We start from the raw sequence: 24,470 nt of genomic DNA on the forward strand, positions 1-24,470 counted from the left end.
TATGACTCTGGAAGTAAAGTGTCCGCCACGTCCTTTCCAGGCAGCAGAAAGAGCTGCCGAGAAACAAAATGACAAAGACATAAAAATAACTAACCCTAACCCGGCGAATATTAGCACCATATTTTTTGGGAGATTACACGGCATCACCGTAGGCCAAGCAGAGAAATCCTCTCTAAGCACCAACAGGAGAGGTTTTGCTCATTGAGGAAGCCCCATAAAAGCCAAAAAACGGATAAAATTTTCCTTTGCAAAAGTGATCCGACTTCACTCAGGGGTTGGCCCAGAAGCCACAGGGGATCAAGTTAAATTTCCCATTTGTGCATTTCAAAAAAAGAAGAAAGCCGCTCAGCTCCCCTCCCCAATTCTGTGTTTCTTGAAGATTATTCCTCTCCCATTTACACCGCCCCCACCCCCCCCCCACACACACACACACACGCACCTGCCCTTTCTAAAAAAAATCCGGCAACACCTCATTCCATAAAAGTAAGTGTTCCGTTTCATCTCCTCTTAGGAAACATCACGGACAAGCTCCAAAACTCACAAGCTATAAGCATAAATGCCAGTGACTTAACCTCTTGGAGCCTCAGTTTGCTACTCTTTAAAATGGGGCTAGCATCCACTGCACAGAGTCATGGTGAAGATTAAAACAGATGAATAGAACCTGGCAGATGGAATATTCAGTAAGTGTTATGAACACTGTCTTCCTCCTCGACCTAAAGAAATATCCAGCAAGTATAAACCAAAATGCCAGAGATCTCTACCCCAGCTCTACCCCCACCTGGAAAGCCCATGGTGGGAAACCATTAGTCCAATCCTGGAGAAAATATTTTAGCTTCACGGACAGCAGTCTCTCTGACTTTGGGGGCCCACTTGACTAAAAAAACCACTTTTGTTTCCAAATAGCTGGGGAGAACATCCACAGATTAAAAGCAAGGGCTTCAGAGTCAGTACCAGGTTCAAATTCTGACTTCACCACTTACTTAGCTGTGTGACCATGGCCAAGTTAGCTTAATCACTCCAAGTGTTACTTCATCTGCAAGATGGAATAATAATGGAACAACTCTTATGGGATTGAACAAGATAAGGGATGTAAACAGGGTACCTACTGTATAGTAAAAGTTCAATAAATGACAACAGATATTATTTTTTGCAATGACCTTGGGAGAGACATTCAAGGTCACTGTGATTTTTCTTCTCAAACCTTCAGTAATGGTTTCTGATCCCCAGATGAGAGGAGGGCCTAGCTGGCCTCTGTTCCGGCTGCACCACAGGAAGGACTGTGGTCAGCATTGGAGCCACCTTTACTGGTTCTCTGACACACCCCGGTGGCACTGAGCAGGGGAACTAGGATGAAGGAAGGGCTCAGCCCACTGACGCATGAGGCCTGGAGGAAGGATGGGGAAGGTTAGCTTGAGACCGAAGGTGTCATCAGGAAGCTGGAATGGCAGCCTTCAGATTTCCAAAGGTCTGGCATTTGCCAAAGGAAGGCTGAAAGTGAATATGAACTCCTACTGAAGAAGCTCTCTTTGCAGTAATATAAAAGGCTGCCTCCATAGCCAGTGAGCTCCCTGTCCCTGGGAGTATGTAAATAGAGCCTGAGGGCAATACAGAAGGGCTTTGAGCATCCACTGAGGATTGCAATAGGTGCTCTCCATGTGGCTGTCAGAGTCTGCCAAGAGGGCTCTGAAACTACTCAGCCTGTTTGGTCTCGGGTTTTCTGCTTCTGCCTTTCTTCTCTGTGATCCTCCTTCTTTTCCTTCTCTATGGAATTATCTTCCTTCTCCCCACCGCATCCCTCTGAGGACCCCTGAAAAAAGCAAAGACCATATGGAGATAGAGTCTGTGCATATTGCAGGTTTGTTTGGTTGAATGGTGTGAAGATGAAGGAGAGTCAGGTGATGGAGAGGCAGGTGATGTATGTATGTGTGTGTGTCTGTGTGTGAGAGAGAGAGAGGGGGGGAGATTGGAAAAGGAGGAAGAAGAAACAGAGAAAACAGGGAGATACAAAGAGAGGAAGAAGCAAGATAGAGAAGAACAGATGAACAGAAAAAGGGGAAAAAATCAGAGAAAAATGCTGAGGAAGAAAAACAAAAATGAGAGACAGGCGATTGAGGGAAGGAGAGCACAGCTAAGGTGGAGAGTGGCGGTAGCCCTGCACCTGCAGCTGTTGGTGCAGCTGGGTGGTGGGTGGGCCCAGAGCACACGCGTGTGCATACAGAAGTCGAGCCGCTGAGCCACTGTCAGTGCAAGAATGTCAGCCCTGGGATGGGGATGAGCCGGCTTTTATCTCTTCCGGCTGTGCAGGATTTACAAGCTTTTGAAACGCAGGATTAATAAGAAGAGGCCGGTGTTTTAATCTATAATGGAACAGAAAGTATCATTATTGTTAAATAATGCACAGCCTGTCGTTTATTAAGAATTAATGGTTTATCGAGTGCTCAGGTTGCTGCAGCCGCCTCTGCCCTTCCAGGCCTGGGCTCCTAGCCACTGGCCTGGACTGACCGGCCACGAGCAGGCTGGAAGGGTAGCAGCCAGCTGGTCAGCCTGGGATGGAGAGGCTCTGGCTCTGGTTCAGAGGCTTGGCCTCTCTCAGTGGTCCACTCTTGCTCAGGCTGGGGGTGGGAAGGGCTAGAGTGGAGGGAGAAGTTATGGGGTGTGAACCCCACCTCATTTCTTCAGCCTGGATCCATCAACCCCTTCTGAGGAGACAAAAGAAGAAGCATCCTCACCGCATGGGACCTACCCATTCTGCTTCTTTTTCTAAGCCTATAAAGTTTAGTTTCCCCCTCTCATGTTTAGTCCTCTGGAGGTGGTGACAACACAGATTCAGGGAGACAGGAGTCCCTTCTTTCTCCTTCTCCCCTCTGGGTCCTGGAGTGATGGATCACACACTTCCCAGAAGGAGAAACAGAAGCATCTGCAAAGGCACCCTGGCGAGAAGGGAACCACATTTCCTGAGAACTTTCTCTGTGCCAGTTGTTCCATAGATATCATCTCACTGTAATCTGTATCATCACCCTAGGTGGTACTATTGTCTCCATTTTATAGATGGAAAAACTGAGGCTTGGGGAAATTAAATCATCTGCATAAGGCCACAATACAGATGGCAGAACTGGACTATACTATTTTATTTCAAAGCCCTTTTCACTCCACACATTGGGGCAACTACTCTGGGCTTCCCCGTTGTCTCAAAATGAATGACCTCAGAGACAGCATTTGAGAATTCCTAAGGGTCTCTGCATCTGTCATATGGAAATGCAACTACAATGATGCACCAAGCAACAGCAGACCTAGCATCTCCACCAGCCAGGAAAACAGAGTCATGGATGGCAATCCAGGAGCCTGCCACTCCACTCAGCACCACAACCGGGCTCCATTCTTGGGCTCTTGTGACACAGAACTCCCTGCCCTCCCCAGTCACCAATCTGCATGGTTTGGGTCTTCAGCCAGAAATACTCAGGTCCAGACACAGAAGCTGACCATATGCCCACCGTATCTGAGGCAAGAATCAGAGCTGTGTGACTTTGGGGAAGTTACTCAACCTCTCTGGACCTCTGTCAAATAGTAATAGTGCCTGCCTCAAAGGATTATTGAAAGTACTAAATGGGGTCATCCATGAAGGAGTTTGGCACAGACTCCACTGTGAGCACTCAGTGTTGATATTGAGGAAGAGGTGTGGCATTGATTCCAGCAGGAGAGTTCTCCCGCTACAGCCCAGCATTTCTCACCTCATTCATTCAATCCACAAACACGTGTGAGCACGGACTATGTGACAAGCACACACCTCCTGAGCGCTTGTGCTGGGCATAGAGGTGAGCTAGTCAGAGGCTGTGCCTATTTCCCAGACACTCTATCCCTCATCGTACCCTTCTTAACCACCCTCTCTCCCACGCCATCCTTCTTCATCTCACTCCATCTTAGCTCCCATCCCAATTTCTCATCTCCACCTTCTTCCTGCATCCCATGCTCCTCTCCACCTTGCACCTTCCACCAGCTCCCTCCCTCTCCCCATCCCAGCCTCTTCTCCATGCGCAGGTCTCTACCTTCCATTTCCTCCAACTCATCCCTTCCTCCCCCTGGCCTCATTCCCATCTCCTTCCTCATTCCCCTTTTCATTTCTCCATCCCCAACCTGGACTCCACTCCCATCCATCCCCATCTCACCCCAGTCTCCCACCCGATTCCCATTCTAGTCTTTCCCTGCCATTTTTCTTCTTTACCCCATCTCCATCTCTCCCTTTCCTCAGCCCCAGCCCCAGAACTCCAACCCTTCTGATTAGAGGGGCCCAGTGGAACCCATGGGGGAGGGGACACTGCCCCCAGAGGCCACTATGGGAAGGTGCATTCCAGGAGACGAACCCCAAGTCCCCGAGAGCTGGTGCAGCCCCATAACCTGCAGTTGGCAGAGTCGGGGAGGGCGGCGACTGGGCAGCAAGCAAGCTCCTCGCTCCCTGCCCCCATCCGTCCCCCTCTCCTCCGGGCGGGCCACCACGCTGGGACCTCGGCCCACAGCCCGGCTCCTCACGCGGCTCCTGTTTTATTAACCTGACTGTCGGGGCTCTCGCCACTGAATAGGGCCTGTCGCGGGGGCTAAGGGGGTGGGGGGGCCTGGGCTTTGCCGTAGATCACCATGGAAACGGCAGCCTCGGCCAATCAGTGGACAGGCAGCACCGAGTGCAGCAGGCAGCTTGGTCTCCGAAGCCTCGTGCAGCCGCAGGCTGACTCCTGCCTGACAGGCCTTCCACAGCCCCTGCGGTGGGAGAGGATAAGAGCGGGGACAAGACCCGAGGAGAGGGGGCAGACGCGCAGGAGTGGTGGGTAGTATGAGGCCAGGGGACACTGAGGGTTGGACTAGAAGATGGGAAGAGACTGGGGAAGGGGATCAGGGACTCCTGGGGTGGGGTTTTGGAGGAGCCCGGGGCAGGGGGCTGCATTTCTCCCCAGCTGCAGTTCTCTGCCTAAGCCAAGGTTTCTCAGCCTCAGCACTATTGACATTTGGGACCAGGTGCTTCTTTGTTGTGCGGGCTGTCCTGTGCACCGTAGATTGTTTAGTTGCATCCCTGGCCTCTACCCACTAGAAGCTAGCAGCATCCCCCCACCCCTAGTTGTGACAACCAATGTCCCCAGACATTGCCAAATGTCCCTTGGGGGGAAAAAACCACCCCTGGGTGAGAGCTACTGGTCCAGGCACTCATAGGGCAGTGGTCACTGTTTATGAAACGTGCTCTCTCTGAGCTGGCTTCTCTAGGGAAGAAGGAAGGAGGAAGAAGAAGATGAATAGGAGTGGGAGTGAAAGAGAAAGGAAGAGGAGGAGGAGCAGGAGGAGGGAGCCCAAGGCAGGGTTCCAGGTGGGTGGGAGAGCCTCTGGAAATAGGGATGTAGGAGAGAGACGCCCCAGGAGGGAGACATAGGGCTGCCATTTTGTGCTGCAAGAATGAAATAAAGTAAGGTTCCTAAATGCCTTTCCTCCTGGAGTTCCTTCTACCTGCTACAGCCCTTACCAACCCTGCTATAGAAATATTGTCTTTCCTTCAGGCCCATATCAGGCACCACATCCAAGAAGCCCTCCCTGATAATCTCAACACATTGAATTTTCTTTTTTTTTCGTTTTCTATTTTTTTTTTTTTTTAAGATGGAGTCTCACCCTGTCGCCAGGCTGGAGTGCAGTGGTGCAGTCTCAGCTCACTGCAACCTCTGCCTCCTGGGTTCAAGTGATTCTCCCACCTCAGCCTCCCCAAGTAGCTGGGATTACAGGCACCCACCATCATGCCCGGCTAATTTTTGTATTTTTAGTTGAGGCAGGGTTTCACCATGTTGGCCAGGCTGGTCTCAAACTCCTGACCTCAGGTGATAACGCCTGCCTCGGCCTCCCAAAGTGCTGGGATTACAGGCGTGAGCCACCATGCCCAGCCCTCCTTCTTTTTTTTTTTTGACAAGGTCTCACTCCATCACCCTGGCTGGAGTGCAGAGGCATGATCATGGCCTACTGCAGCCTCGACCTCCTGGGCTCAAGCAATCCTCCCACCTCAGCCTCCCGAGCAGCTGGGACCACAGGCACGTGCCATCATGTCCAGCTAATTTTTAAATTTTTTTGTAGAGACAGGATCTCTCTATGTCACCCAGGCTGGTCTTGAATTCCTGGACCCAAACTATCCTCCTGCCTTGGCCTCCCAAAGTTCTAGGAGGTGTGAGCCACCATGCCCAGCCCAGATTGAATTTTTATTTTCTCCAGGACTGCTCGTCACTTTGCTTCTACCTCCATGCTAGTACTCAGCACCTTGGTTCACCTACTAACAATAGTTCCCTTTAGTGAGGGTTTCCTGTGTGCCAGATGCTGCAGCAAAGGCCTTAAGCATGCTTTCTCATTTAATCCTCCTCACAGCTCCCTGCATCTCCAGTACTATTATCATTTTACAGATAAGGAAACTGAGACACAAATTAAGTAACTTGCACAAGGTCACTCACCCAGTTAGAAATAGTAAAGTGAGGATTCAAGCCCAGGTTTTCCTGACTTCGGTGCATGTGTTTTAAGCCTCTGTTAGTGTCCATCTCCCCCATTAGATTCAAAATCGCTGGCAATGCCTAGCACAGTGCTGGCGAGTAGTAGGCACTTGAGAGCTGTTTTGAATTGGCTGGTGGTCTCTGGAAAGGTCTGCCTGGGCAGCTGAGAAGGAGGGACTGAATTGGCAGTGCCAGGGTGTTGAGTGCCCTCTAAAGGCCCTCAGGTTTTGCTGGGGCCTGGATGAGCTGGGCCAACCTCATGAAAGGCAAATGCCACTGAGGCTACATCTCAGCCACACTACCTTACTGGGCCACCTTGGGTCTCTGGACTGACCTGTCCCTCAACCCCATGGATGCTGGGCCATGGCCCCCCCTAGTGGCCAGAGGGTCATGGTAGCGGTGGTGTGGGATGGGAGTGAGGGCAGCTGGAGATCTCACAAACAGCCCAGTGGGCTTCCTTCCCTCTGAGCCCTATTCCTAGGTTCCAAGCTCTCTGAGGAATTGGAGCCAGATGCCTCAGGAAACTGTCATTGTGGAGCCTGGCCCCTAACCGAGGCCTAGAGAATGAAGCAAACCCCCTTTTTCCCCATTACTCCCCTCCACCCAGTAAGAGCCCCTTTCCCTCCTGCCCCATTTGAAATGAAGGGGGTAGTGTTGGCAGACAACTTCCATCACAGCCCGCCTCCCACCAGGGTTGATTCCACCCCCATCCCTGCCTTACATTCCACAGAAAAGGGTTTGAGGCTGAGGGTTGTCTGACAGGAAGCATCGCATGATGCTGCTTCCCACCCAGGTTAAGGTTTTGATCTGGAATCCAGGAGCTAGAGTCCCAGGGGGCTTACATCAGAGCTGCTCCCCGACCCCAGACACGCATACACCACCCGCCTCCCCCAGGAGGCACCTCAGCTTTGAAGGCAGGGCTCCTGACAGGCTGCCGTTCCCATGGCAACCCCATCCCAGGCTGCCCTACCCAGCACTTCCTTCCACCCCCCTTCCTCCACCCTGAACCCGCATCACCTTCATTCATAGAACAAGAGCTGCTTCACATTGGCAAAGTGGACACCCCTTCCCCCAGTTCTCTCCCTTTTTTTCTTCCTCTTCTTATTCAATGGAGAACCCAAAACCAGAGAGAGAGAAATGGATGGCAAGAGTAGGACTAAGGTGGATGAGGGGTAGGACAGGAATGGGAAGGAGCCATGGCTCAGTGCCTTCTGCCAACCTGTGGACCCCCCAACTCCAAGGCTCCAGTGTCTACTCTCATTCCCAGATCTGTCTCAGTTCATGGATCTGTGCCTCTCCCAGCTCTATCTCTGTGGAGATCCAAGACCTAGCCAGGCTGTCTGATGGCCTTATGGCTCCAAGCATAGCAGGGCCAGGTCCCAGCCTCCAGGCCCAGGTCTCCAGCCACCAGCCAAACTGTAGCTCAGAGGCCAGGTGCAACAACTGGGCTCTGGAACTCAGCCTAGGAGTACTGAGGCTGCTCCTGTCCCTAACTCTGGTGCCCCTCCAGCATAAGACACTACCTTGCAGAGGTCACTGGGGAGTGAGGGGACTCTAATTTACAGTAGGATTGTGGGAAGGGCTAGAGGGGAGTCTCAGACTCCAGCCCTGGTTAAACAATGCAACTTCTCCTGCTGGGAGAAGGAAACTTGGCTTTTGGACCATTGGCAGGTGCTGTTGGAAAGTCAGGACAGGCATCAATCCCATCTCTGCAGGAGGTGCTGAGCAATGGTCAGCAACTCAGCTTCAGAATCAACCAGCCTGGATTTGAATTATCATGCCCTAATTTATTCACTGTGTGATGCCTACCTTCTCCAAGACTTGCTTTCCATATATGAAAAATGGAGATAGTAATTATATATAGGTATATGACCAATATTTATAAGCTCTACCACCCTTCCAGAGACAGTGCTTGAGATGTAATCTCGTTTAATCCTCATAACAGCCCAGTGAGGTAGATATTATTATTACTATATCTAGTTTATCCTACAGAGAGGAAACTGAGGCTCAGAGATGTTAAGGTGGTTAAGGTGACCCAGCTATGGGACTTTTTCTTTAACAGACAGGGTCTTGCTATGTTGCCCAGGCTGTTCTCGAACTCCTGGGCTCAATCAATCCTCCCGCCTCAGCCTCCCAAGAAGCTGGGACTACAGGTGTGCAGTACCACTGTGCCTGGCTAGGAGCAGAGCTTTTAATCCCAGGCCCTATAAGAGAATGTATGCACAGTGTCCAGCAGCTGCTAACTAACCAGTAAGTGAAGATTTTCTTATTAGTGAGGTTCTAGGCCCTACATTGGCCTCATCTCTCATTTCCCTCACTCTGGGGATATACAGCCTCCACTGGCAACCAAGATTGTGAACTTACTGGGTGAGAGTCAGGAAGGAGCCCAGGCTTGGTGAGATTGAGGATGTGGTATGGAAGGGACCTAATTTTGTGGCTGTGAGAGACCATCTCTAGCTGGCCCTTCAACTGTGGAAATAGAGCAAGAGGGTGAGGCCTCCGGGAGGCAGTGGCTTGTCCAAGGTTACCTGGTGAACAGACAGCTTCACTCCTCCTCAGCCCCCCAACCCAACCCTTTGGACAACACATCAAGGTCAGAAGCCTCTGAGGATTAGAATCTCTGGAGAAGGGTGGAGAGGTGTAGAGGGGAAGCAATATTTGTACTAAAGGGAGCTGTCCTGGAGCTCAAACCCACACAACCAGACTTGGAATCCTCACCTCCCTTAAGGCTCACCCCCAGCCCCTCCAGCTTCCATCCACCCCTTCCCCGAGCAGCCCCGCCCCTCGAAGAACCTCGGAACACTGGGGCCTAACCATCTCCCCCCATCCCCCATCTTGAGTGAATGTGCCGAACAAACAGCATTGTTCCCTACACAATGGACACAAAGAACTTGGGAATTCACAGAATGGTCCTGAATTTCTGCTTCCTTCCCCTCCAAGCCCTAGAGAGATCCATTGTCTGTAAACTCCACTTAAAATATGCACCATAGCTCCAGCTGGGGAGCCACTTAAGACTTGCGGAAGCTCCTCCTCCCACCCCCACCCGCTGCCTTCCCTCCTTCCTAGCCCTTTCAGAGCTAGGCAGAAAGGAGGGGGAGCAGCAGCCACCTAGAGTCCCTGATGGAGTCTGAAGCTGGGAACGACCCTGTCCACCCCCAAGTTCCTTAAGTCAGACGCTTATCTCACTGGGTCAGACCCAGCACCACTCAGCACCTGGGGCTCCCATTGTTACAGCTGCGTTGGGGTTGAAGGACCTGGTCAGCTGGTGGACTACTAATCACAGAACCTTGATGCTGACATGAAGACTCCCTGGGGCACCTCCCTCTATTCTCCTGTCTGCTTACAGACCCCCAAGGACAGGGAACTCACTACCTCCTAAGGCACCTGTTCTACCCCTGAAACTTCTCATTCTTATAAGACCTTCCTTAGAAGGAACCCCACCCACTTCTCCTTAACAACCCACTTCTTCACCTCCCTGCTCCTATGTTAACATGGTCTTCCTCTGCAATGTGACAGCCTCGCAGAATTTGAAGGCTGCCAATATATTTTGAATATACTGAATATATTGAATATATTGAACATAGAACACATTTGAAGGCTGTCAATATATTCCCCTGTATAAAGGGGATACAGATAAGTTACACAGGTAAGATAACAAGCCCTCAGGCTGGGAATGTGACTCATGCCTGTAACCGCAGCACTTTGGGAGGCCAAGGCAGGTGGATCACTTGAGGCTAGGAGTTCAAGGCCAGCCTGTCCAACATGGCGAGACTCTGTCTCTACTAAAAATACAAAAATTAGCTTTGTCGTGGTGGCGGGCACCTCTAGTCCCAGCTACTCTGGAGGCTGAAACATGAGAATTGCTTGAACCTGGGAGGCAGAAATTCCAGTGAGCCAAGATCGGGCCACTCTACTTCAGCCCAGGCAACAGAGCGAGTATGTCTCAAAAAACAAACAAAAAAATCTCAGATAACCAGCTTTCCCAGAGGGTTGTAATTCTGGTGGGAAGTCAGATACTAATATCAGATAAGATAATGCATAATTACTAAGTAAGATAAGAAGTTGACTATAGGAACTTGGTAATATGAAAGCATCTAACAAAGGAAACTGATCTAGTGTAGAAGGTAGAAGGGTGACCCACCGTAGGCTTCCTGAGAGCTAAAGAAAGTAGGATTTGGCCGGACACACTGGCTCATGCCTGTAATCCCAACACTTTGGGAGGCTGAGGTGGGTGGATCACCTGAGGTCATGGGTTCAAGACCACCCTGGCCAACATGGTGAAACCCCATCTCTACTAAAATACAAAAATTAGCCTGGCATGGTGACACATGCCTGTAGTCCCAGCTACTCAAGAGGCTGAGGCAGAAGAATCACTTGAACCTGGGAGGTGGAGGTTGTAGTGAACAGAGATTGTGCCACTGGACTCCAGCTTGGGTGACAGAGTGAGACTCCATCTCAAAAAAAAAAAAAGGCCAGGCACGGTGGCTCACGCCTGTAATCCCAGCACTTTGGGAGGCCAACGTGGGCAGATCACCTGAGGTCGGGAGTTTGAGACCAGCCTGACCAACATGGAGAAACCCCGTCTCTACTAAGAATGCAAAATTAGCCGAGTGTGATGGCACATGCCTGTAGTCCCAGCTACTCAGGAGTCTGAGGCAGGAGAATTGCTTGAACCCGGGAGGCAGAGGTTGCGGTGAGCCGAGATCGTGCCATTGCACTCCAGCCTGGGCAAGAAGAGAAGAGAGAGGAAAGAAGAGAGAGGGGAGGGGAGGGGAGGAGAGGGGAGGGGAGAGGAGAGGGAAGGAAAAAGAGAAAGAAAGAAAAAAAGAAAGAAAGAAAGAGAAGGAAGGAAGGAAAGAAAGAAAGAGAAAGAAAGAAAAAGAAAGAAAGAAAGAAAGAAAGAAAGAAAGAAAGAAAGAAAGAAAGAAAGAAAGAAAGAAAGAAAGAAAAAAGGATTTAATTCTGGAAAGAGGGGAGGAAACAGTATGCAGGGTGATGGGATCAGACTGTGCAAAGATCCTGTGGCAGGAGGGAATCCATCTTATTCAAGGACCTGAAGAAGCCAATGGGATTGGAGGCCAGTGGGTGGGGTTGTAAGACTGTAGGTCTCAGTGAGGAGGTTGGCATGATTCTAACAGCAATGGAAAGATACAAATGTGTACGTGCAATAAAAGCTGATTGACATTTGCCTCAGAATGACACAGATTCCTAGAGTCACTGGCCCAAAGCAATTCTTCCGAGCTTTTGCACTTGCTGTGCCCTCTGCCTGGAATGCTCTGTTTCCAGATTTTTTCTGAGGCTGATTTGTTCTCATCATTTAGGTCTTGACCCAAACCACTCGTCCTAAAGGAGCTCCCTCTACATGCACTGTTGCTCTCTATCCCTTTATCTTGTTTTATTATTTTTACAGCACTTTCACGATCTAAAACTAAATTGTTAATTTCTTTGCTTTACTGTTACTCTTTCCACTCGCTAGAAAAAAAGCTCAGTATGGGCAGGAATTTTGCCTTAGCGACTACCACATTCTAGCGTCGGCATTGTGCTAGCCCACAGTAGGGCCTCAATAAATAATAAATGAACAAATGAATGAATTACTGAATACACACCAAGATAAAAGGGCCAGTATTTACCCACAAACATACACATATAAATGTATGGTTATTCATGGGCAAGTGCATGAGTACCCACGGTGACTCAGAGATTTCCCTCGCCCACAAGGACCACCTCTCAAGGGGCCTTTTAGGCAATCCAGAGCCTGTACAGTTCATTGCCCTAGTCTAGCTAATCAATATACACCTCCTCTGGCTGGATGAGGACCTGCACAAGCAGACCTGTCTCAGGTCAGCCATTGGTTAATCAAAGACGAGGGTGGAATTTAAAGTGCCCTATGGAGGGGCAGTGAAAACAGATTGATCCATGTGGCCTGGACACAGTAAAACCCCTTACAGGCTCCATTTATTTCCCACCTCTCATCTCCCCTCTCCTCCTGGGGCCCCAGCCCATCTTCCACTGCTCCCCATTTCCCACTCTACTGGAAGTGGCTGAACCAGGCATTGTGTGGGACTCAGGACAAATAGATTAGAATTTAGTGGGGTTTTACAGGGTTTGGGAATTTGACTAGGTGGGCAATATTTTAAACAAGCATTTATTGTCTTAGCAAGTACCTACTAAGTGCAAAGCTTGGCTAGGGACTGCCAGATTCATTACATAATAGCTGATTCAGGGCAGACTGTGAAAAATGATTTAGTCAGAAACCCTAAAGGTGGAATCCCTGTGTTCCCAAGGTACATGTCAGAGTGGGACACAGTTAATTCCCAGTTGGGGAGCTCTGGGATAGCTTACTAGAGTATCATTCTAAATAACTACCACTTTAATAGAGCACTTACTGTGTAAGCACATTTTACATGTGACCTTTCTGATTTAATCCTCACTCTTAAGCCTCTGGGTATGTGTGATTGCTATTATTATCCCATTTACAGATGGGGAGACTAAGGCTCAGGGAGGATTAAGCGAGTTGCCCAAATTTTCCACAGCTATTAAGCGGCAGAGTAGATTTTCAAGCTCAAGAGGAGACGCCAGAGTCCCTGCTCTGGGACCCCACCATGACAATGGCTATAGCTGTGCCTTGACGCAAAGGTAGGACTTACTTAGGTGGGAAGATAGGAGAAGTCCATTCTAGGAAGAGGACACAGTTTGAGAAAAAGCTGATAGGCAACGGTGCCAGAAGTTTTTCTGTGTGTGTATGGATTTTGTTTGTTTGTTTGTTTGAGACTGAGTTTCGCTCTGTGGCCCAGGCTAGAGTGCAGTGGTGCGATCTCAGCTCGCTGTAACCTCCGCCTCCCAGGTTAAAACGATTCTCCTGCCTCAGCCTCCTGCGTAGCTGGGATTACAGGCATGCGCCACCATGCCCGGCTAATTTTTTGTATGTTTAATAGAGTCAGGGTTTCACCATGTTGGCCAGACTGGTCTCCAACTCTTGACCTCAAGTGATCCGTCCGCCTCGGCCTCCCAACGTGCTGGGATTACAGGCATGAGCCACCGCGCCCAGCCTAGATGTTTTTTAAAACTTTCTGGTAGCTGGTCAGGTGTGGTGACTCACACCTGTAATCCCAGCACTTTGGCAGGCTGAGGCAGGCGAATCACCTGAGGTCGGGAGTTTGAGACCAGCCTGGCCAACATGGAGAAACCCCGTCTCTACTAAAAATACAAAATTAGCCAGGCGTGGTGGCGCATGCCTGTAATCCCAGCTACTCGTGAGGCTGAGGCAGGAGAATCGTTTGAACCCGGGAGGCGGAGGTTGCGGTGAGCAGAGATTGCGCCATTGAACTCCAGCCTGGGCAACAAGAGCGAAACTTCGTCAAAAAAAAAAAAAAAAGAAAAATCTCTGGTAGCCTGAGGTCCTAGGAGATTTAAAACAACAACAACAAAAATAACAAAAACAAACAAAAAACAACTATTGCTGACTTTTTTCTCTATCTGGTCTTTAGGATATTAGCCCCAGGATGGATTCTTGCCCTGGGTGTGTCTTTCTCTAGTTCCCAAACAGAATTTTATCCAAAGGTGGATGATAGGGGGTGAGGGTGCAGTATTTTTGGTGAATTGGTCTTCTCCCTACCCTGGCTGGGATGGGGGCCACTTGGGGACACTTTCCAGGCCCAGCTGGTCCTCTGCCCATCTGCATCCCTGCCTCCTGACTCATTTCATTCCAACCAATAGAGTCTTAGCATGCAAATTTAATGAATAGGCAAAGAAATGATTGGCTCATTTTCCCTGATGTAATAATGCCACTATTCAAGTAACTCCTATGAACCCTACCCCCACCCCAGTTCAGGGCATTTGATCATGTTCTGGCAAGAATCCCCAACTCCTGTTTTCCCTTTTTTTCCCCATTCTGAGTTAGCGAATCACTTCAAAATGCCCGACTCATCTCTCCAGGGGTGGGATGTCTGGAGGGCCAGGAAGCCACCCTTAGGCCTGAACCACTGCCATCTTTCTGGGAGGCCCCTTATGCCTCTGCGGACTGTGGGTAGCATCAAATCCAGGATAACAGAGCCCATTTACTAAGACGTTTTGCGAGAATCCATGTCCAAAGCCTTCCTGAAACCAAACCCCAGCATATCGGCTGTTCCTTTCAGCCCCTAATTTAGTAATTCTATTGAGAAAAAGAGATTGTGGGTTTTTTTATTTGGTGTGATTTATTCTTTATCATATAAATAATAATAATTTACACAAAGCTCATCCCCAAACAGAAGAGAATCTGTACATAAAAATAAACAAAAATTAAACTGAGCTGGGCCTGGTGCCCAGAAAACCAGCCAATTCCAAACACAACCAGGGGGAACAAATTCTCCAGGTCCTGGGAGCTCTGGGGCCTTGGCTGGAATTCTGGGTGGAGACTCTGGTCCGGGAAGCCATTGCCCTCTTTCCTGTACATCCTGTGCCGGATGATGGCACATCTGGCAGCCAACACTCATGGACAGCCAACCAGCAAGCTCACTGGGTTGGGAGGTGGGTGGGACTTGAGCTTAAGGGAAGAATCAGTTTTAAAACTCCTGGGCAGTGTTGCTTGCTTCTGGCTTCCCCAGGGGCTGTGAGAGATACTGTGGCTGGGGAGATGGGTGTTGGCCACCATCCAAAGGGGTGGAAGCTGCCTATGGCTCCATCTTTCTCCTGTAGCTCCTTAGAGGCATGAGTTGGACAGAGTACCCACTGGTCTTCTTTTCCCTTGGAGCTCTAGCTCCCTCTCTGGAGGCTCGTTATTTCTTATAGATATTGAAAGATGACAAGCAATCTTCTTGGCCATTGATTAATTTCCCTCAGCAGGCACTCTTTGGCTGTTCGAAACTTCTCCTTCACCACCTCCATCTTATTGCAGAAAAATCTCTTAAGAAGAAGACTGCCTTCCACATTCTGGTTTCGTACCTTTACTTACAAAGGGAGGAGTATATGTGGCTTAAACTGCTGTTTGGTTTGACTGTAAGCCCCATCCTCCCATCCCAAGGCAGGGGTTAGATCTGCATTGGTCTATAGGTACACAGTCATTTGCAATTAGAGACTTTATAAATGGTGAAGTTGATCATGATAGTGAACGCGATAAGGCTAAGATGGTGATGGAGAAGATAAAAGGAAAAGGGATTTTGATAGCAGTGCTGAGCCTGCCCTTGTGTCTGGGGTGATTATCTGGCTTAGCCTGAAATGAGAAATTGTGAAGGTGGTGGTGAAAGCTAAGGACAGGAGAAGAGGAAAGTGAAGGTAAATGTGTCCAGGTACAGGTGAAGCTTCCAGAGAAGAGAGGTAGCACAGCCCAGTGGTTAGGAGTCTAGATTCTGGGGCAGGACATTCTGGTTTCAAATTCTAGCTCGACCACATACTAGCTTAGGGAAGTATTTAACCTCTCTGAGCCTCAGCCTCCCCAGCTGTAAAATGGGAATCATAACAGTACCTGCCTCAGAGGGTGGCTCATGGTAAGCGCTGTATGAGCATGTGCAACCTAAGGTATAGGTGGGATTACAGTTACAGCCAGAGGAAGGGCCACAAAGCACAGCAAGCAGCACTGGGAAGATTCAGGAGATCTCGATCAGGCCCCATCACAGTCCTGTGTGACTTTCCCCATCTGGGCCTCAGGTGCCTTGTCAAAGGAGAGTTGAAGTAAATAATATTCAGCCCTCAGAAAGTCCCCTTGGGCAGCAAAGCTCTGTATGCATGACTGGTAATTGTCCTGTGGGAACATCCAGCCCCAGAAAGGACTCTACAAGTCTTTAGGTCCAGGTGTAGATTCAGCAGGCATGCTTGTGTCAGGGGTCAAACCGAGGGAGTTGCTGAGCCCGTTGAAACAGCCTCCTTTTAGGGGTAATAGAAAGATGAGAGGTGAGTTCTTGCCTGGGAGAGGAGGCTCCAGCTGTCCCTCTCTCCAAGGAAGCGGCTGGGCTCCAAAGTACAGCCTGATGGGGCTGAGCCGCCGATCCTGGTTGTACTGTGACTGCAGCCATGTTGGCATCTGCTCCCAAGTTTGGGCACATGAGGGGTTTCACTACCAGAACCAGCCTTTTCCAGTTCTGCCCCTTGTTTGCATTCTTGAGTTTTTTCCTACCCCCTGGGGTTAAAGGACAGGAGGGATAGAAAGGGCACTCATGCCCTGTGCCAAATTAAATCTTTATAGACCCCCTTCTCTAGGCCTTGTCTAAGGATGTCAGAGCCCTCTAAAGTCCCCCAAGCCAACAGGAGGCTATCAGAGGCTGCAGGGCAGGAACTGGCCACAGGATGTTTTCCTTTTATTCTGCCCTAGAAGAAACCCGGCTTCAGGTTCATTGCTCCCTGAAAATCAGGGGTAAGGAATGGAGTTTGGCCTTCAGTACCCAGGGGGCTTCATCAGTCCCTCACCTCTTCTCCTGACAAGCCCTTCAGCCACTCTTCCACCTGAAGGAGGGAGAAGAGCCCTGCTGTGTCCTGAATTCCAATCCTGGGAACTGTCACTCACATGGTCTCTGGTCCCAGCCTGAATTTAATCCAAGAGCGGAGGCCTGCCTGGTCCCAATCAACCTAGGCACGGGGGATCATGGGCTATGTGTGTGCATTTGGTTGGTGCTTAGAAGATATAATACAAATATTAGCAATCCACTTGAACTCTTACTCTGTCAGGCTTTACGCTAGATGTTCCACATGCATCACTTTACTGAATCCTTATTTCAGAGTAAGAAACAGGCTCAGAGAAGTTAGGTCACTTATTCAAGGTCACACAGTTAGAAAGCTTCAGAGTCTAGATTTGTGGACCTCTCTGATTCCAAAGGCTGTGCTCTTATTCACTGAGCTTTGCAACATGTACCTGGATGAACATGAGGTCTCCCGCCTGACACTCAGTTTACTAACAATGTGTGCTGAGGACAGTGTAGTGGGCCAAGGGGGGCCACCCTCAGGCCTCAGATCCACCTTCCCACCCATGATCTCCTGTCTACCTAAGAGTGTCCAGGGATACTCCCAGAAAAGCTGGAACAGAGACCAGAGCCATGCCGATGCCTCAAGGAGGCAGCCAAGTCTTTGCTGAGTCTGCAAATCCTCATCTCTAGGCCCCCCATGAGCTCGTTTTGAGAACTCCCCCAATACCTCTCCCAGCCCCTGCTCCCTCCATCAAAGTGACCCTCCAACCCCTCTTTCTTTTCTCTCCTACCTCCAAAGTATTCCCTGCAGCACCCCCAGGTTCCCTTCTTCCTGAAGCCCAGACCTGTAGGGTTAGACTGGTCCAGGCTGCAAATCTCCCAGTTGAGCTTCTTTTTGGGGTCACAGCTTCAGAAGCATCTCTGCATCTTGCCTGTACTTTGATAAATCGTATGAAAACCTGAGTCTCTTCGCTTCTCCTCTGGAACCCCCTCCTCCCTGCAACTTCTCTCTGCTCAGCAGCTGCACAATGCAGTCAGAGGGAAGGGGGTGGACTGGCAGAAACCAGCTTGTTTCTGAGGCTGGAAAACAGAACTGTAGGAAATTAACAGGCTGAGAAATGTCTGCTCGGCTCCGCATTTGTTTTGCACCCTCAGTCTTTCTCTCTGCAGCTCTCTCCTCCTGCCCCTGCCCCTCTCCCACTCCCTGCCGCTCAGTGTGGGCACCTGGGGCTTGGCGGCTCTGTGTCTGGGCCTTGCAGGAAGGTGCATCTTCGTGTGTGTGTGGGAGTGTGTGCATGTGTGTGTGTGTTTCTCTGTGTGTGTTTAGGGATGGCAGACCTGCCCCTCCTTCAGAGGCAGCTTAGCCAGAAACGCCAGCGGCAGAGACAACTGTGCGGGTGGGGATGCTGAGCGCAGAGCCGGCAGAGCCCGCGGGCAGGCAGAGAAGCACCACACAAGAAATTGATTCCATTAAAAAGTAATCTTAAATTTAATAAAAGTTATGATTTGTTTATAGCCACAGAACCTACAGGCAAGAGGGAAGGGGGGTAGATTCTAGTGATGGATAAACAGAAAGAAAAAAAAAATAAGAGAGGGGGAGGGGAGGAGTGAGAGATGCTTAGGTTTGGATGGATGAGAGGATGGAAAGACCTGGGGGTGGGGAACGAGACCATTTTCTCTCCCTCAGATGGAAGAAAAAAGCCTGTGGCTGGATTCCAAAGAGGAAGCAAGAGTGAGGAGTGAGTGAGGAGATTCAAGGAGCTCTCGGGAGATGGAGCTGTTGGAGGGGGCTGGGGACATGCAGGCACGGCCTGGGAGAGGCAGATGTGCAGGAGGGACGGTCTGGAGCCCTGGGAGGGCAGGTAAGGAACGCAAAGCACCCATTCAGCAGTCAGACAGGCAGTCCTGGGTTTCCACTCCAAGTCAACCTCTTCCTAGCAGTGTAACTTGACTTCTCAGATCTTCATCCTTTTCATTGGCCAAATGGAGCCACAGAGATAGTGCCTACCTAACGAGGTGGTCGTGAGAATGAATGAAATTGTACAGGTGCATCTCCTGGGTGCCCAGTAAAGGACAGCTCCCTTCCTGACCCTCCCCGGATGGAGGTCATTACCCCAACACTGCCCCCTCCTGTTTATTTGCAAGCAATGGCCAATCCTACTCCTTTCTTTTATTCTTTTTGCAATGGAGGGGACTGAGTGGCCTTCATCTCCAATCTCAATCTGGAGGCTGGTTCTCCTGGGTAGTCGCATACTTTGTCCTTTGCCCACCTCTCTAGAGCATGAAGAGGGCATGGGCAAGGCGCTCTAGAGCCCACTTCCACTATGAGCTAAGGGACCATCTAGGGGACACATTCCCTCGCCTAATCTGCCACCCCCTACCCTGCTTTTTCTCTCTCCCTCAGCCTAGAATCATGTGTAAACACAGAGCTGAAATTCTCCTGACCCCTGAGAAGTGTCCCTTGGGTGAGACTGCCCAGGTACAGCCCCTTGGCCACCATAATCAGGTCCTGTTGGGTAGAACATTTGGCTTTCAGGCAAGTCTCCTGTTGTTCCTTCCAATGAGCCTGGGCCCTGTCTCTAGGCCGGCTGGGAGGGAGCTAGGACCTGCAGGGTCAGCACCAGAACTGGTGATTGGGGCCTAGGCAGGAAGCCAGGACATCACTGTGAGATGCTATGTGAGGCGAGAGCCAGAAGATCTCAGCTATCCCAGAGTCCAGGGACTGAGAACCAGGAAAAATCGTCACAGCAACAGGAGTCTCCTGGGGAAGCAAGAAATCATTCTGAGGATAACACGGCCAGTTCTACTCAGTCATCTCCTCCTACCTGGGCTGCTTTTAGCAAAGTACCTCCACCTGAGTTCACTCTTGCCTCGTGGCATGTTAAAGGCACCTGCTGGTTGGAGACATTGAGGAAGACAGGACAGGTGGTATTAGCATCTTCATTTTACTGATGAAGAAACCGAGGTCAGAAAGGGAAAGCTACTGTCCCCAGGCCACACAGCATGTAATATATGGAGGTGGAACTGAAAGCAAGCATTTAGACTCTGGATAAAGGCACCACAGCCTACCCTACTGAGTGTCACTCATCATGGCTACATGTACTGGAGGCCTTGTCACCACTGCTACCACCATGCTGCTTAGCTCCCCCTTTTTTTTGCCAGTATCACCACCTCGGGCCCCATCACAGCGGCTGCTGGGCTCACACACACATCCTCTTCCAGGAAGGGCAGCCCAGTCTGGGATTCTCATGTCCTGTGTGGTTTCCAGAAGAAAGAAACTATAGCCCTGAAGGTGGGGCAGTGGCCTACAGACAGTGGAGCACAGTGACCTGCAGCTAAGAGGCTCTTGGCATTGCTGAGGGTCTGGCTGGGACTATGGATGCAATCTGGCCACCACCTCCAAAGGATTTCCAGACCTCTCCCGCTGAACCAAGACACGGAGATGGATAGGCCATCCTGGGTAGGGACCTCCAGTGGGGCACCCTGCTGCTTCCCTCACACTCATGCTGTGTGTCCAAGACAGAAATGCCACCCTGCTGCCCGACCTCAGTCTGTCTGATGTCTGTTTTCTGGTTCTATTCTCTGCGAAGAGACCAGTCTAGCCACTCCCTGTGTAAAAGCCAGCCACCCTCCTCTTGTTGAGGAGGATTCTCTTTCTCCTCTTCTGCAGAGACTGAGGCATGGAGGGCAGTGTCTGGGATGAAGGGATCATTTAGGAAGAGGTCCTCCAGTAAGGTCTGATCTCTGTCGGCACCCTAGCCTATGTTCTCAAAAGCAGATCCTTACAACTTTACGTGAAATGGTCCTTACCTCTAAGAGTTGCCTTTAGAGGTGACCTTTAGAAGGAGCCACTGTGGAGTCCTGACTTCTGTGTGACGTTCATTAATAAATCACCTTCCCCAGCCACTCCCCAGAGCTTGTCTTCCATGATGGATGCAGAAAAGGGTTCAGTCAGGGAAAGGAAACTAACATGGGCCAAGAGCCTACTGCGTACCAGGCCCACGCTAGAGGATTGACCTACAAGATGCCATTTGATCCTTGCAACAGCTTTGTGAGGCGGCTCTTACTATTTCCACTGGGCAGTTAAGGAAACAGAAAATCAGAGAGGTTAAGTGACTTAACCAAGGTCACACAGGAAAAAGGTGGCAGAACTGGGATTTGAACCCAAATACATCTGAATGGAAAGTCCATGCTCTTTCTACCCGGAGTGCCTTTCATCACTGGTTCAGCTCTAGGGATGGAGGGCTCCTTCACAGAAAAAAGTTCTCCACTCCAACTTGGCAGTATTTTTCAAAATGAAAAATTCATACATATTTTGAGCCAGCAATCTCTCTTCTAGGAATAAATCCTCAAGAAACACTCATACATGTGCACTAAGTGTATTAGATGTTCTTGTTTGCGAAGCAAAATATCAGAAACAAACTAAATGTCCATCAGTAAGGGACTGGATAAATAAACTGAATGACTATGTAGCTGTAAGAAAGGAGGAGCGCCGGGTATGGTGGCTCATGCCTGTAATCCCAAGTTTGGGAAGCTGTGGCGGGTGGATCACCTGAGGTCAGGAGTTTGAGACCATCCTGGCCAACATGGAGAAACCCCATCTCTACTAAAAACACAAAATTAGCAGGGCATGGTGGCACATGCCTGTAATCCCAGCTACTCGGGAGGCTGAGCCAGGAGGATTGCTTGAGCCCAGGAGTTCAAGAACAGCCTGGGCAACATAGGGAGACCTCATCTCTACAATTAAAAAAGAAATTGGCCGGGCGTGGTGCCTCATACCTATAATCCCAGCACTCTGGGATGCCAAGGCGGGTGGATCACTTGAGGCCAGTAGTTTGAGACCAGCCTGGCCAACACGGCAAAACCCTGTCTCAACTAAAAGTACAAAAATTAGCCAGAGGTGGCCACGTGTGGTGACTCACGCCTGTAATCCCAGCACTTTGGGAGGCCAAGGCAGGCAGATCACTTGAGGACAGGAGTTCCAGACCAGCCTGGCCAACATGGTGAAACCCCATCTCTACTAAAAATACAAAAATTAGTAGAGTGTGGTGGCGTGCACCTATAATCCCAGCTACTTGGGAGGTTGAGGCAGAATAATCGCTTGAACCCGGGAGGCGGGGGTTGCAGTGAGCCAAAATGGCACCACTGCATCCAGCCTGGGCAACAGAGCCAGACTCCGTCAAAAAAAAAAAAAGGAAGGAAAGAAGGAAGGAAGAAATTAGCAAGCCATGGTGGCAGGCAACTGCAGTCCTAGCTACTCTGGAGGCTGAAGTGGGAGAATTGCTTGAGTCCAGGAGTTCGAGGCTTCAGTGAACCATGATCGCACTACTGCACTCCAGCGTGGGTGACAGAGCGAGACCCTGTCTATAGATAGATAGATTGATTGATTGATTGATAGATAAAGATTGGTCTTGGAGCAAGGATTACATGATGAGTTGTTAGTAGGGACATTGGTTGCAACTGATTGCTGACTGTTCAGATAAACTCCAATGACCTTGTCTTCCTCCCCACCCCAAGCAGACCCACACCCTGTGCAGACTGGAAGCTCAGATGGACTACTGTCATTACACAGACAGCCTATGTAGCAGCAAAAAAGCTTTCATGAAACCTCAGACTGGCCCATCTGGAAAATCATCTTTGGCTGTGTGTTCTTTCCGATAAGTTATGTTATTCCTGCTTCACTGCTGAATGTCAGTTCAGTGATCCTAAAGGACAACCCCACCCCCATGCACACCTGCTTTCCCATCAGACTTAGTCCTCATCCCTGTAGTTGTGTCTCTCTCTAGGTTGTCTTTCTCTGCCTCTGTTTCTCCTCTCTTTTTTTTTTTTTTTTTTTTTTTTTGAGACAGAGTCTCACTCTGTTGCCCAGGCTGGAGTGCTGTGGTGCAGTTATCGGCTCACTGCAACCTCCGCCTCCTGGGTTCAAGCAATTCTTCTGCCTTGGCCTCCTGAGTAGCTGGTACTACAGGCATGTGCCACAACACCCGGCTAATTTTTTTTATATTTTTAAAGTAGAGATGGGGTTTCACCATATTGGCCAGCCTGGTCTTGAACTCCTGACCTCAGGTGATCCACCCACCTCGGCCTCCCAAAGTGCTGGGATTATAGGCGTGAGCCATCGCACCCAGCCTCTCTCCCTCTGTTTCTCTAAGTGGACTTAGAGTCTCTTAGATGCAAATGACAAAAATACAACTCAAACTGGCTTAAGCTTTTTTGCTCACATAACTGAAAAGCACAGGAATAGACTTCAGGCATAGCTGAATCAAGGCGCACAGACATTGTCACCTGGCATCTGCCTCACTCCAACTTTTGGGTCTCTCTCCATTGTGTTAGCTTTACTCTCTGATAGCCACTTTCCAAGCAGTTTAAGAAGCTCCAGTCTTACACTGACCAGTGTGGCAAACCCGACAGAAAGAACCCACTCATCTTTGAATAGTTCAGCAAAAGATCCACTGCTAATATTATTGGATTAACTTTTTTTTCTTTTCTTTTTTTTTTTGAGAAGGAGTCTCGCTCTGTTGCCCAGGCTGGAGTGCAGTGGCACAATCTCCGCTCACCACAACCTCCGCCTCCTGGGTTCAAGCAATTCTCCTGCCTCGGTCTCCCGAGTAGCTGGGATTACAGGCACCCGCCACCACGCCCAGCTGATTTTTCTATTTTTAGTAGAGATGGGGTTTCACTATATTGGTTAGGCTGGTCTCGAAATCCTGACCTTGTGATCCACCCGCCTTGGCCTCCCAAAGTGTTGGAATTACAGGCGTGAGCCACGGCACCCAGCCAGATTAACTTTTAATGAGTCACCGTGTCCTGGAGATGGAAGACACAGATTGACCAGGTCAAGTTACGTGCCCACCCTGGGATCCTGGGGTAAGATCAGCTTAGGTCACAGAGACAAGGAAGGAAGATGGGAGACTTGACTGTCTGACCATGACACTGACATCAGGGAGTTCTTCACCTTCTAGATCTCAGTTAGGTCTTATGAAAAACTGGGTATGGCATCCAGATCTGATTCTCTGCTGTTGGGACACTTGCAGTCTAGTTTCTTTTCATAGCCTTAGGCAGATGATCTGAATTAAAGCAGCTTCCAGATCTTTCTGTCACCACCACTCTCACTACTCCCCTATTTCAACTCCCAGTGGAGACTCTGTGGTATAGAGGGGTGAGGGAGGAAGAAAAGAGAAAGTAAGAGATGGGATGGGAAAGAAAGAGAAGGGAAGAACAACAGAGACAAAAGCTCTGGAGCAAACCTCCAAGGCTGCACTGGTCCTGGGCCACCTCAGCCCCCATCTCCATCCCACCCACTGGCCCACATCCTCCACCTGTGAGTGGTGCATTGCGGCTTAGCTGTTCCAGACCCCCTGGCTGGGCTGGGCTCCAAGCTCTGCTGCTTTGTCAGGGTATCATTATCCCCATTCTGCAGCTCTTGTCACCTGGAGGCTCTTTCTTCTTCTCTGGCCCACACACCAACACACAGGTGCCTCCTGCCTGGCTTTCAGCTCCTCCTACCTGCCACCTTCTTTCAGGGCCCTTTCCATTGCCACATAGTCAGTGGCTCTGCCCCTAAGGGTGCCATCCCAGCCCAGGACCATTTTCCCTC

At 49.9% G+C, this 24,470-nt stretch overlaps 1 long non-coding RNA gene across 1 annotated transcript, besides 5 other annotated features; it reads right to left on the reverse strand.

The window, feature by feature from the left end:
- Positions 1-424: 424 nt before the first annotated feature.
- LOC107986454 (uncharacterized) lies at positions 425-22,708 on the reverse strand. Its single transcript, XR_001742906.2, has 3 exons — positions 14,116-22,708; positions 2,159-2,699; positions 425-1,807 (listed from the first exon to the last, which is right to left on the reverse strand). It is a non-coding gene; the product is annotated as an uncharacterized LOC107986454 (long non-coding RNA).
- Positions 4,577-5,225: an enhancer, noted in NCBI's record as "H3K27ac-H3K4me1 hESC enhancer chr5:141191515-141192163 (GRCh37/hg19 assembly coordinates)". NCBI's record gives its function as "activates a minimal SCP1, AML or CMV promoter by ChIP-STARR-seq in naive H9 embryonic stem cells {active_cell/tissue: H9 hESC(naive)}" and the evidence as "EXISTENCE:reporter gene assay evidence [ECO:0000049][PMID:30033119]".
- Positions 8,277-9,268: an enhancer, noted in NCBI's record as "OCT4-NANOG-H3K27ac-H3K4me1 hESC enhancer chr5:141195215-141196206 (GRCh37/hg19 assembly coordinates)". NCBI's record gives its function as "activates a minimal SCP1, AML or CMV promoter by ChIP-STARR-seq in naive H9 embryonic stem cells {active_cell/tissue: H9 hESC(naive)}" and the evidence as "EXISTENCE:reporter gene assay evidence [ECO:0000049][PMID:30033119]".
- Positions 9,269-10,259: an enhancer, noted in NCBI's record as "OCT4-NANOG-H3K27ac hESC enhancer chr5:141196207-141197197 (GRCh37/hg19 assembly coordinates)". NCBI's record gives its function as "activates a minimal SCP1, AML or CMV promoter by ChIP-STARR-seq in naive and primed H9 embryonic stem cells {active_cell/tissue: H9 hESC(naive and primed)}" and the evidence as "EXISTENCE:reporter gene assay evidence [ECO:0000049][PMID:30033119]".
- Positions 15,666-16,166: an enhancer, noted in NCBI's record as "H3K27ac hESC enhancer chr5:141202604-141203104 (GRCh37/hg19 assembly coordinates)". NCBI's record gives its function as "activates a minimal SCP1, AML or CMV promoter by ChIP-STARR-seq in naive H9 embryonic stem cells {active_cell/tissue: H9 hESC(naive)}" and the evidence as "EXISTENCE:reporter gene assay evidence [ECO:0000049][PMID:30033119]".
- Positions 17,970-18,658: an enhancer, noted in NCBI's record as "H3K27ac-H3K4me1 hESC enhancer chr5:141204908-141205596 (GRCh37/hg19 assembly coordinates)". NCBI's record gives its function as "activates a minimal SCP1, AML or CMV promoter by ChIP-STARR-seq in naive and primed H9 embryonic stem cells {active_cell/tissue: H9 hESC(naive and primed)}" and the evidence as "EXISTENCE:reporter gene assay evidence [ECO:0000049][PMID:30033119]".
- Positions 22,709-24,470: the final 1,762 nt, after the last annotated feature.

This window comes from Homo sapiens, chromosome 5 (assembly GCF_000001405.40).
Source record: "Homo sapiens chromosome 5, GRCh38.p14 Primary Assembly".
In the NCBI taxonomy this organism is placed as follows: domain Eukaryota; kingdom Metazoa; phylum Chordata; class Mammalia; order Primates; family Hominidae; genus Homo; species Homo sapiens.